The 13,126-nt window shown below is 43.7% G+C and overlaps 1 long non-coding RNA gene across 2 annotated transcripts in view, besides 1 other annotated feature; it reads left to right on the forward strand.

Moving 5' to 3' along the window:
* The first annotated feature begins 1,936 nt into the window (after window positions 1–1,936).
* The window catches only part of LOC105374528 (uncharacterized), a 50,374-nt gene continuing 39,184 nt past the window's right edge, over window positions 1,937–13,126 (forward strand). For both annotated transcript variants that reach the window (XR_925476.3, XR_925477.3), the window contains exon 1: window positions 1,937–2,105. This is a non-coding gene — a long non-coding RNA (uncharacterized LOC105374528). The remainder of the gene's footprint in view (window positions 2,106–13,126) is intronic.
* Window positions 6,224–6,848: an enhancer, noted in NCBI's record as "OCT4-NANOG-H3K27ac hESC enhancer chr4:23724584-23725208 (GRCh37/hg19 assembly coordinates)". NCBI's record gives its function as "activates a minimal SCP1, AML or CMV promoter by ChIP-STARR-seq in naive and primed H9 embryonic stem cells {active_cell/tissue: H9 hESC(naive and primed)}" and the evidence as "EXISTENCE:reporter gene assay evidence [ECO:0000049][PMID:30033119]".

Below are 13,126 nucleotides of genomic sequence, written 5' to 3' on the forward strand. Positions count from 1 at the left end.
TAGAAGAAAAATATAATTAATTTCTGAGATGTTTTATTTTATTTGGAAGGCCTCCTCTCTCCAGGAACATAACAACGACTTACTGATTTAAAAGTCTTATACTTTAGAGGTGGTCAAAATACTTTTCTAACAATCATGATGGCTTGTGTTTCTAATCGCAGTAACACCTGGCTAGAAGATAAAAACGGTCTTCAGAGAACCTTTGGGCCTTTTTAGTTTTTGTCACCTCAATGTTGCTCTTGTATGCACCCGGGAAACTTGGGTGGGTTTTAATCTTTCCATTTAGCATTTGGTTAGTTGGTTTGTTTAATAACTAAGAGTACTGAAACATACAAGTTGACTTACCAGTTTGTCAAGCCAAGGAGAAAAATACAATGCTGTCTGTGATACCCCAACGATAATAAAGAAGATAAAGGTGCCTACCCTGGAACAGCTTTGTAAAGTTCACTGTGGTGGGCATGGTCAAAGTAGTCTCATCGTGCTTGGGGATTCGAGTTGGAGCCTTTGGTAATGGTCATGTCAAGTCAAATGACCCTTGAAAAAAGTAAAAGCCATCATAGGCAGAACCCACACAATATTTTCATCATAGTAGGCCCCTTTCGCTCCAGTATATTCTCTGTTCTTCATTTGAACACCAGCGGAGGTAGTTTGCTTGGATTGAGAAGATCTATCATATATAAAAAAAACAGTCTCAACACAACTTGGAAGCTGAGATTGATGGTGGTAATATCAAATTGATCTCTCTTAATTCATGATATAGGAGAAAACTCAGTGGCATACGGTAGATCTGCAGTTGTATTTATGTGATTAAATGTGTATTTTAAATAATTTCATCACATTTGTTTTCTGCACAGGAAAATTCTTTTACTGGGACCAGCTCCTTCTCTACTCTATCCATATACCAGTAACTGGGACGGCCATGTTTTTACAGAGCCTCACCCCTCCCACAGTCTGGACCAATCCCTGCACTTTCCTGAGATATTTTAAATTTCAGAGCACAGAGAGGGTGATACAGTCTCCCTCTTGTGGTCAAAGCCAAAAAATGTGAATCCTGTTTTCCATATGCCTCCACAGAAATAGAACATACAGTGAAAAAATTAATAGTAAGAATACAGTTGAAAGGCAGACAGATGGAGCTTTGAGACCTGGAGGGAGGGTCTATAGCTTTCAAACCCCTGATTCCGTTTGTTCGTGAGATTCTGCAGGATCCCGCCCTTGTCTGACTGTTCAACTCTGTACTAATTGTGAAAGTTGGTAAATGATCCCTCTAGCCAATAGCTTGCTAGGGTTAACTTTCTGCCACTTGCAACTACATTGATATAGTCACCAAAGTGTTTACTTAGATCAATGTTCTCCCCAGCAAAGACAGAAATAGCAAACTGATAAAAACTTTATTACTGGCATAAATGTATAGTGGCCTTACCTTTGCAAAAACACTTCACTTGGATAGTCCAACACGACTTAACAGTTTATTTTTGTTCTCTGGGTTTTAATTTCCTCATCAATGAAATGGTAGGGTTGAGCTAGATCAGAAGAACTAAGGGAGCCCCATGGACCACCTAGCCGCACCGCAGTGAGTGTGCGCTCATTCTGACATTCTTTCCCAAGGACTTTCAGTTCTGCTTCAGAAGACTTCTCTCCGCAGTATGCGGGGTGGAATTTACTTTTCGTTCCTGAACCTTAAATGATCTCGAAATGCCATTATAACCTTGCTAACAATGTAGTGAATTAGACCAGGCAAGTAACTGATTCCCATTACATGAGTAAGGAAATTGAGTCACAGAGAAACTTGTAGTTTAGATAAACCTGTTCAGCTTCTTTTTAACCCTCTTTCCCCTCTTCATGTGTACCTGGGGAGGTGGAAGGAGGATGAAAGACTGTGGCTGTTCTTTAGTAGTTTCTTTCCTTGGAAAAAGAACAGGGTGGGGCATGCCACTGCTCTCGAAGGCTTCTGTACTCTTGCATCGGAAATCATCTCCTTTTCTTCTCCATCCCTTTGTCTCTCCTAACTTATTGCATCACATCAGCACCAGCTGGCTGTACCCCATATTAGAGGAAGATGGGGCCCAGCCAATGATTGCTTCTCTGAACTAAGCTGTACCCTGGTGAGTAGCATTCCCAAAGGGGTTTAACTTAGGAGTGGGAAATAACAGAGAAACTTGTTCAGAGACCAACTTTTGAACCCAAGCAGAGATGCAAATTTGGGGTCTAGGCGTGCCATTTAGTCAACCCTGCAAATTAGCACATGCTCGCTTGCCTGGAGCCCTGAAAGAAACCAGGAAGGGACCACAAGGAATTCCAGTCTGTTCTGTTTCTCCTTCAATTGACTTTTGGTCATGTTTTAGTTGGTATTTGCTTCTGTGGGTGCCTATGGCTGAAGGTAAATGTTTGTTTTCTTAACCTGGGCATCAACAAGCAGAGATGACATAAAAATGAGTTTAGATTGAAAGTTAATAATGGTAAATTTTAACAGTAAACTAGGAAGAAAAATAGAGCATGTGTATAATTTATATAATATTATGTATTTATATATAATTTATATATTTACATATATATATGCACACACACAAAAGCTGAAAAATTAGTCCAAAAATTAAATTACAACCTAGTCAACTCCATAGCTAAGAATCTTCCTTTTTTTTTCCTTTAAAGGTCACCATTCACAATTACTGTTCATGGGTGCAGGGGTGAGGATGACTGTATTTAGGTGCAATTGTTTAAATTTATGCTCTTCATAAAAGCAAGTGTCTCACTCTGACAAGGGTTGTAACCCTCATGCATTTCCTACAGCTCTAGCTGAATTGGAACTATTAGGTCCCGTTCACTTACACCTTCTCAGAGAAGATTCCATTTCCCAATTATTGGAACATTGAGTCAAATAAAAGCAAATGTTGTTAAAGAAAACAACATGGAAAGAGTCTTTCGATATCTAAAGAAAGCTGGGGATTGATCGAAACTAAGTAGTTGAAAATGCATCTCTATCCATGACTTGAACCACAAAGGTGGTGGGAGGCGGGGTAAAGGAAAGAGGGATAGGAACTTGGAGCAGGGGCAAGAAAGAGAGAAAATTTATTGAAGTAGAGAAAGATAATTGGTATCTGGAATTTCCTCTGCAATTTAAGGCTGTCAGGCCAGCATCTTGCACATCTTCCCACATTGAACACATCGCTATTACGGAAGCAGAGCTCTATTCTAGGATAGATTAAAGAGCTGATAGGTGAAACCAGCTGCAGAGAGCATCTGTTTTGTTTTTGTTTTTGTTTTTATTTTTTTTTTATTTCAGAGCAGGAGTCCTTGCAGAACTAGAAAAATACAGATTCCAGGCCGGGCGCGGTGGCTCACGCCTGTAATCCCAGCACTTTGGGAGGCCGAGGCGGGTGGATCATGAGGTCAAGAGATCGAGACCATCCTGGCTAACAAGGTGAAACCCCGTCTCTACTAAAAATACAAAAAATTAGCCGGGCGCGGTGGCGGACGCCTGTAGTCCCAGCTACTCCGGAGGCTGAGGCAGGAGAATGGCGTGAACCCAGGAAGCGGAGCTTGCAGTGAGCCGAGATTGCGCCACTGCAGTCCGCAGTCCGGCCCGGGCGACAGAGCGAGACTCCGTCTCAAAAAAAAAAAAAAAAGAAAAATACAGATTCCAGAGTTCTTAGGAGGTTGTAGTCTAGGAGGGAGTTTTCACAACCTTCCAATCTTTAAAGTGCACTGAGCTCAATGAATCCCCATGAGTCCTTCCAACACGTGACTTGCCATAGCAACTTTATCTTCCAAAATATTACTGGGGTGAAAAGACCTGGAGCACAGCTTCACTTTTACCCAAGGTATTTCCTATTCATTGCCTTATTATTTGACTAACGCCTGGGTGGCTATGTTTGCAGATCCTGTCTTCTAGGCTACCGTGAGGAGTTGCTCCATTACTTATTTCCTAAATGAATAGAACTACCTCTTCTCAGTCATCACAGCCTAAGCAAATGGTTTGAAATGATAAACCTGCCAAACAGCTTGTGGTCACACAGCTGACTTGTAGAATCTTTAGGAGCTTTGATTAGTATGACTTGTGGGGGTGTTGGAAAAAGAGAAGTCACTTAGGATAACATTTGTTAAGAATCAGTGGTATGTCCTATGCAGCCATGAAAAAAGATGAGTTCATGTCCTTTGCAGGGACATGGATGAAGCTGGAAACCATCATTCTCAGCAAACTAACACAGGAACAGAAAACCAAACACCACATTTTCTCACGCATAAGTGGGAGCCGCACAATAAGAACACATGTACACAGGGAGGGGAACATCATACACTGGGGTCTGTCGGGGGTGGGGGGCTAGGGGAGGGATAGCATTAGGAGAAATACCTAAGGTAGATGATGGGTTCATGGGTGCAGCAAACCACAATGGCACATGTATATCTATGTAACAAACCTGCACGTTCTGCACATGTATCCCAGAACTTAAAGTATAATTTAAAAAAAAGAAAGGAAAATAAATCATTATGTGAAAAAAAAATCAGTAGTATGTCAAGAAATTTAATTTCAGTATATTTTCATAATAACCCTGCAAAGAAAACCTGGTTATTCCCCTTTTTCATTGAGGAAACATAAGACTTCTCAAGAATCTCCAACGTTCTTGGCTAGGCTCGAGGGGGCAGAACTCAGTTGTCTTTGACTCCAAAAACTCACGAACCACAGAAAGTGCATCAACCTTTTTTTTTTTTTTTTTTTTTTTCAAAGCGGAGTCTATCTCTGTCACCCAGGCTGAAGTGTAGTGGCGCGATCTCGGCTCACTACAACCTCTGCCTCCCAGATTCAAACAATTTTCCTGCCTCAGCCTCCCGAGTAGCTGAGATTACAGGCGCCTGTGACAATGCCCAGCTAAATTTTGTATTATTAGTAGAGATGATGGGGTTTCACCATGTTGACCAGGCTGGTCTCAAACTCCTGACCTCAGGTGATCTGCCTGCCTCAGCCTCCCTAAATGCTGGAATTACAGGTGTGAGCCACCGCGCCCGGCCAAGTGCGTCAACTTTTAAAGCTGCGTTACCTCCTTCTGAAAGCCCATTTGAACAGTGAACTTTTATGGTATGAAGAGTGTATTCCTATACGCCAATATGTTAGAAGATTCTGTGGATTAGTAGCAGTGCTTTTTAAGCTTTTTTGTTCATGGTGCAAATAAGGAATGAATTTTATATTAGGACCCTGTACACACATACCTATTCTATGTCTATAAAAGTACATTTGTAACTGAAAACCACTCACAAAACAATACCTTCTTTTATATGTGAAAAGCATTCTGATATGTTCTAGTGTATTTTCAGACTATGTATAATACTAGAACAGTGGTTTTGAGTACTCATTATGGAGCAAAACCAGCTGGGATCATATGTGCATGCAGATACTTGACAATCGTTGTAGGAACTTGGAAAAGCAACTTAACCTATAAAAACAATTATACCTCAAAAGGTTGTCATGAAGATTAAATAAATATTATGTGAAAATCACTGACATAAAAAGTACCCAACAAATGTTGGCTCTTACTCTGTTAGGACCTCAGCACAGGGCCTAGATGGAGCAGCTTTACAATGACTGACACATAAAAGCACCACAAAAAGGTTTGCTGTTTGTGATGCTGTGTACTTATTATGTCTACTAAGTGTAGGGCAATGTGATAGGATGTATAAACAAAAGAAATTGGATAATATTTACATAGATGAGCAAAAGGAATGGGACATCACACAACATAAACAATTTTGTGGAGACAGATTTTTTTTTTTTAAATCTGAGATCAGATTCTTAGTCATTTCCTTTTATAATTTAATATAAAAATAAATATGGTATATGTATTTGTCTAGTCCCTTATTTGAGGCTACTTCTCCCACTAGACTGTAAACCTTTTTAGGGCCAAGACTGTGTCTGTTAACCCACCACTGTATTTTCTTGGCCTGTAGCCATATCTTTGACGTAGAAATCATTCAAATTACTACTTACGGCCGGGCACGGTGGCTCACGCCTGTGATCCCAGCACTTTGGGAGGCTGAGGAGGGTGGATCACAAGGTCAGGAGATTGAGACCATCTTGGCTAACATGGTGAAACCCCTTCTCTACTAAAAATACAAAAAATTAGCCGGGCGTGGTGGCGGGTTTCATGCGCGTCCCTGTGAAGAGACCACCAAACAGGCTTTGTGTGAGCAATAAAGCTTTTAATCACCTGGGTGCAGGCGGGCTGAGTCTGAAAAGAGAGTCAGCGAAGGGAGATAAGGGTGGGGCCGTTTTATAGGATTTGGGAAGGTAAAGGAAAATTACAGTCAAAGAGGGTTTGTTCTCTGGCGGGCAGGAGTGGGGGTGGCAAGGTGCTCAGTGGGGGTGCTTTTTGAGCCAGGATGAGCCAGGGAAAGGACTTTCACAAGGTAATGTCATCACTTAAGGCAAGGACTGGCCATTTACACTTCTTTTGTGGTAGAATGTCATCAGCTAAGGTGAGGCAGGGCATATTCACTTCTTTTGTGATTCTTCAGTTACTTCAGGCCATCTGGGCGTATACGTGCAAGTCACAGGGGATGCGATGGCTTGGCTTGGGCTCAGAGGCCTGACATTCCTGCCTTCTTATATTAATAAGAAAAATAAAACAAAATAGTGTTGAAGTGTTGGGGTGGCAAAAATTTTTGGGGGGTGATATGGAGAGAGAGAATGGGCGATGTTTCTCAGGGCTGCTTCAAGCGGCATTAGGGTCGGCGTGGGAACCTAGAGTGGGAGAGATTAAGATTTTAGTTTCCTGACTCCGGACATGTTGAGTAAAGCTAATTTGCCAGTCCTGGGTGGGGGCAAATCCTCGAGCTTGATGTGTAGGGAAGGGAGGGGGCCTGAATAATCCCTGAGGAATAGTAGAATAGCAGATGGAACACTGAGAAATTATTTCCTTGAGGATAGATTTCCACGATGGAAAGGAAATGAGAGGTTCTGAGAGGCGGGCTAGTGGCTTGTACTATAGCATAGCCTGCCTTTGCTGGTGTGTGGCGATTAGGCCTGGTGGAACTGCCATCAATAAATCAAGCGTGATCAGGGTGAGGAACAGGAAAGAAGGAAATATGGGGAAATGGGGTGAATGTCAGGTGGATCAGAGAGATACAGTCATGGGGGTCAGGTGTGGTATCAGGAATAATGTAGGAGGCCAGATTGAAGTCTGGGCCAGGAACAACGGTAATTGTGGGAGACTCAACAAAGAGTGAGTACAGCTGAAGGAGCCGGGAAGCAGAAAGTATATGCGTCAGGTATGAGGAAGAAAATAGATTTTGGAAGTTATGAGAACTGTAGAGAGTGAGTTGAGCATAGTTTGTGATTTTGAGGGCCTCTAAAAGTATTAAAGCAGCGGCAGCCGCTGCACGCAGACATGAGGGCTAGGCTAAAACAGTAAGGTCAAGCTGTTTGGACAGAAAGGCTACAGGGTATGGTCCTGGCTCTTGTGTAAGAATTCTGACCGCGCTAACCATGCCTAGGAAGGAAAGGAGTTGTTGTTTTGTAGAAGGTGCTGGGGTTTGAGAGATCAGTCGGACACGATTGGCAGGGAGAGCACGTGTGTTTTTATGAGAATTATGCCGAGATAGGTAACAGATGAGGAAGAAATTTGGGCTTGATTGAAGTAATGGGGGCTGTCTGTGAAGCTTTGCAGCAGTACAGCCTAGGTAATTTGCTGAGCTTGATGGGTGTCAGGGTCAGTCCAAGTGAAAGTGAAGAGAGGCTGGGATTAAGGGTGCAAAGGAATAGTAAAGAAAGCATGTTTGAGATCTAGAACAGAATAATGGGTTGTAGAGGCTGGTATTGAGGATAGGAGAGTATATGGGTTTGGCACCACGGGGTGGATAGGCAAAACAATTTGGTTGATAAGGCGCAGATCCTGAACTAACTTGTAAGGCTTGTCTGGTTTTAGGACAGGTAAAGTGGGGGAATTGTAAGGAGAGTTTATAGGCTTTAAAAGGCCATACTGTAGCAGGCAAGTGATAACAGGCTTTAATCTTTTTAAAGCATGCTGCGGGATGGGATATTGGCATTGAGTGGGGTAAGGGTGATTAGGTTTTAATGAGATGGTAAGGGGTGCATGATCGGTCACCAAGGAGGGAGTAGAGGTATCTTATACTTGTGGGTTAAGGTGGGGGGATATAAGAGGAGGACGCAAAGGAGGCTTTGGATTGGGAAGAAGGGCGGCAATGAGATATAGCTGTAGTCCAGGATAGTCAGGGAAGCAGATAATTTAGTTAAAGTGTCTCAGCCTAATAAGGGAACTGCGCAGGTGGGGATAACTAAAAAGGAGTGCTTAAAAGAGTGTTGTCTAAGTTGGCACCAGAGTTGGGGAGTTTTAAGAGGTTTAGAAGCCTGGCCGTCAATACCCACAACAGTTACGGAGGCAAGGGAAACAGGCCCTTGAAAAGAAGGTAATGTGGAGTGGGTAGCCTCCATATTGATTGAGAAGGGGACGGGCTTACCTTCCACTGTGAGAGTTACCCGAAGCTCGGCGTCCGTGATGGTCTGGGGGCTTCCGAGGCGATTGGGCAGTGTCAGTCTTCAGCCGCTAAGCCGAGAAGATCTGGGAAGGAGTCAGTCAGAGAGCCTTGGGCCAGAGTTCCAGGGCCTCTGGGAGTGGCTGCCAGGTGAGTTGAACAGTCCGATTTTCAGTGGGGTCCCACACAGATGGGACGCAGCTTAGGAGGAACCCTGGGCTGTGGGCATTCCTTGGCTTGGTGGTCAGATTTCTGGCACTTGTAGCAAGCTCCTGTGGGAGGAGGTTCTAGAGGAACGCCTGGCCACTGCAGTTCAGGCGTTTAGAAGTTCTTGTGTGCTGGAGATGTGGCTGGGGTTTGTCTCACAGTGGAGGCAAGGAATTGCAACTTTTTTCTATTATTGTACACCTTGAAGGCGAGGTTAATTAAATCCTGTTGTGGGGTTTGAGGGCTGGAATTTAATATTTGGAGTTTTAATGTCAGGAGCAGATTGGGTAATAAAATGTATTTTGAGAATAAGACGGCCTTTTGACTTTTTAGGGTCTAGGGCTGTAAAGCGTCTCAGGGTTGCTGGGGAACGAGCCATGAACTGGGCTGGGTTTTTATATTTGATGAAAAAGAGCCTAAACGCTATCTGATTTGGGATAAAGAAAAAGGAGCATTAACCTTGGCTATGCCTTTGGCTCCAGCCACCTTTTAAGAGTAAATTGCTGGGCAGGTGGGGGAGGACTAGTCACAGAACGAAACTGTAAGTCGGACCAGGTGTGAGGAGGGGAGGTGATAAAAAGATTATAGGGTGGAGGAGCGGAGGCTGAGGAAGAATTGGGACCTAGCTCTGCCTGGCGAGGAGCAGGCTGGGGAGGAAGGGAGAGGTCAGATGGGTCTGTAGAAAAGGAAGATTAGAAAGACTCAGCGACGCTTGGGGTTGGGACTGAGGGGACAGGCGGGAGGGAAAGAAGGAAGATTTGGGACGAGTTGCACTGGGCACAGAGACCAGGACGGGACTGATGTGTAAAAGAATGCCTGGACGTCAGGCACCTCAGACCGTTTGCCTATTTTATGACAAGAATTATTTAGATCTTGCAGGATGGAAAAATTCAAAGTGCCATTTTCTGGCTATTTGGAACTACTGTCGAGTTTGTATTGGGGTCAAGTGGCATTGCAGAAGAAAATAAGGCATTTAGGTTTTAGGTCACGTGTGAGTTGAAGAGGTTTTAAGTTTTTGAGAACACAGGCTAAGGGAGAAGAAGGAGGAATGGAAGGTGGAAGCTTATCCATAGTGAAGGGGCAAGCCCAGAGAAAAGAGTAGAGACACGGAGAAGGGGTGGGGGGTTCTTGCCCTCCAGAAAAGCAGAGAAGCGGTTGGGGCACGGAAATAAGGGATTGGGGCACAGAGGTAAGAGGTCAGGGTGCGGAAATAAGGGATTGGAGCACAGAGATAAGAGGTTGGGGTGCGGAAATAAGCGATTGGGGGGTTCTTGCCCCCTAGGGAAGCGGGACTTGCCGCTAAGGGTGAAGGAGAAGGGGTTGAGGGGTACTTGCCCCTGCCCCAGGAAAGCAGAGAAGGGGTAGAGACAAGGAGAGAAGGGGTTGAGGTACTTGCCCCTTCCCCAGAAAAGTGGGACTTGCCGCTAAGGGTGAAGGAGAAGGGGTTGAGGGGTTCTTGCCCCTGCCTCAGGAAAGCAGAGAAGGGGTAGAGACAAGGAGAGAAGGGGTTGAGGTACTTGCCTCTTCCCCAGAAAAGTGGGACTTGCCGCTAAGGGTAAAGGACCAAGGCAGGTGTCCCTGCGTGGTCTGACACCCTTGAAATGTGGGTGTATAATCAGAGAGGTGTCCCTGCAATGATTAAACACCAAGGGAAGGCTGCCTTCCCAGTCTGTGACCGGCGCCGGAGTTTTGGGTCCACGGATAAAACGTGTCTCCTTTGTCTCTCCCAGAAAATGAAAGGAATTGAAATTAAGAGAAGGGAGAGATTGAAGAGTGGAAAGAAGAAAGTGGTTGAGGGACAGTGAGAGAGGTTGGAGAAGAGAGTAAGAAGAGGCCGCTTACCTGATTTAAAATTGGTGAGATGTTCCTTGGGCTGGTCCGGTCTGAGGACCTGAGGTCATAGGTGGATCTTTCTCACGGAGCAAAGAACAGGAGGACAGGGGATTGATCTCCTAAGGGAGGTCCCCCGATCTGAGTCGCGGCACCAAATTTCATGCGCGTCCCTGTGAAGAGACCACCAAACAGGCTTTGTGTGAGCAATAAAGCTTTTAATCACCTGGGTGCAGGTGGGCTGAGTCCGAAAAGAGAGTCAGCGAAGGGAGATAAGGTTGGGGCCATTTTATAGGATTTGGGAAGGTAAAGGAAAATTACAGTCAAAGAGGGTTTGTTCTCTGGCGGGCAGGAGTGGGGGTCGCAAGGTGCTCAGTGGGGGTGCTTTTTGAGCCAGGATGAGCCAGGTAAAGGACTTTCACAAGGTAATGTCATCACTTAAGGCAAGGACCGGCCACTTACACTTCTTTTATGGTGGAATGTCATCAGTTAAGGTGGGGCAGGGCATATTCACTTCTTTTGTGATTCTTCAGTTACTTCAGGCCATCTGGGCATATACGTGCAAGTCACAGGGGATGCGATGGCTTGGCTTGGGCTCAGAGGCCTGAGAGCGGGCACCTGTAGTCCAGCTACTCGGGAGACTGAGAGAGGAGAATGGTGTGAACCCAGGAGGCGGAGCTTGCGATGAGCCGAGATCGCACCACTGCACTCCAGCCTGGGCGACAGAGCGAGACTCCATTAAAAAAAAAAAAAAAAAAAAATTACTACTTACTAAATGGAAACACAAATGAATGGAGCAGCATTGTTAGTTTGTTTGTATCCATACAACTTTATTTGCTTTTTGAAATCATGTTGGGACCCTCATAATATATAGTTATTGAGTATTTACAATGTGCTTTCCCAAGCCTCACTCCCACAAAAAGCTAGATTTGGAGAGATTTGACATTTCTCTGTGAAACACATCTTTCTAGGCATGTGACGCCTCTCAAGAGCACGATGTAAGGGCTCCAAGATGAGTTTGGGCTTCCCAGTTCCCCAAGTTAGGAAACTGGTAGCCCATGAATCCTTAAGCCATCTCCTAACCCATAGAGGGGAGAGGAGCTGAATGAGATTATATCACCTAAAACTTCCTTTTGCAGGTTTTTTTGTTGCTGCTGTTTTGTTTTTTGCCTTTCTATATTGATCTGGGCAACAGCACAGAGGGAACTGGTGGTAGGAGAAAAGTACTGACATCCAAGAGGGAAAAGACCTGTGAGATTATGACACATTGTTTCCTGCTGAGCTTTCCAGCTTCTTTTCATGCCCAATTGGCATTTTACCCTTAACCACACTCATTTCCATTTCTGTTAATAGAAGTGCAAGGGAATTGCAAAGTTGGAATTCTCCAAAGCATTGAGGGATGAATCATGTTTCCAAGTAGAATGGTCATGATTCACCTCTCTAAGTGGGAGATGGTAGAAGGAGCAATTCTGAGATGGATAAGCCAATTATGTAGCATTGCTGAATGACTATTGCTTACCTAGTATTGTGCAGGCAAAACAGAGGAGAAGAAAACAGAAAACTCCATCCTGTTCAAGAAGCTGGCATGCTTTCTTTGCAGTAGGAGACAATTGACTAAAATATAAAAGATATAAAACCCAGAGGGTATGACTTGTTCCTTGTTAATCTCTGATCCTCTCTACTTAGCACACAGTAGGTAAATGTTAGGAGTTGACCAATGAACAATTTAAAGTGGAGCAAGCTTAACCCTTGGAGTTGAACAGATGCAGATCTCAGATTTGTCATTTTCCAGATATGCTGATTCTATACAATTTTTTTGATCCAAGTGTTGACTTTCACAACTTCCTTCATCTTATCTTAAAAATAGAAACATGAAAGATTAAGTGGATCAGAACTAAAACATCCAGGACAATGCCTGACAAAGAGTAATGCTCAGGAAGTGGTTATTGCCTTGTGATTGTTGTTGAGATCACATGTTAGCTCATATTCAGCATGGATGCCTCCTTCTTCTATACATGAGGATCCCTAGACAAAGCAGAGAGCAGAACACAATCCCAACATGTACCTAGAAGTAGCCCTGGAGATGTCCCCAATTTAAATATGTTCCTCAAATTTCTCCCTCACTCACATTCTGCTAATCTTAAGCTCTACTCTTAGCCATTCTGAGATAATACTGATACCTGGTATCATATAAAGGTAGCCTAATTTATATCCCGACAAATCAACAGAGGCCCAATCTCACTAGAATGATGCTACCAGGAAGTAGGGTGACACTAGAGGGTGGAAAGACATAAAGCAGAAACAAGATTTACATGATAAAAAGAGAACACACTTTTCTGAAAAATCCTGAGTTCAAGTTCAAGTTGTGAAATATACTAAGCTATATGCCCTAGGGCAAATTATTTAATCTTTCATAATTATACATTCTAAATTTTGATGTTATCTTCAAGGTTATTGCCAGAATTACATGGCATAATGTTTCACACGTTTAACATAGTTCCTGACACAGAATAATTACCCAGTACCTGAACTTCATATTTTTTATCCTCTTAACCTGATATTAGAACCCTAACACTGGGCAAAGCCATTTTTTTGCATACCCATT

This window comes from Homo sapiens, chromosome 4, assembly GCF_000001405.40.
Source record: "Homo sapiens chromosome 4, GRCh38.p14 Primary Assembly".
Taxonomy (NCBI): domain Eukaryota; kingdom Metazoa; phylum Chordata; class Mammalia; order Primates; family Hominidae; genus Homo; species Homo sapiens.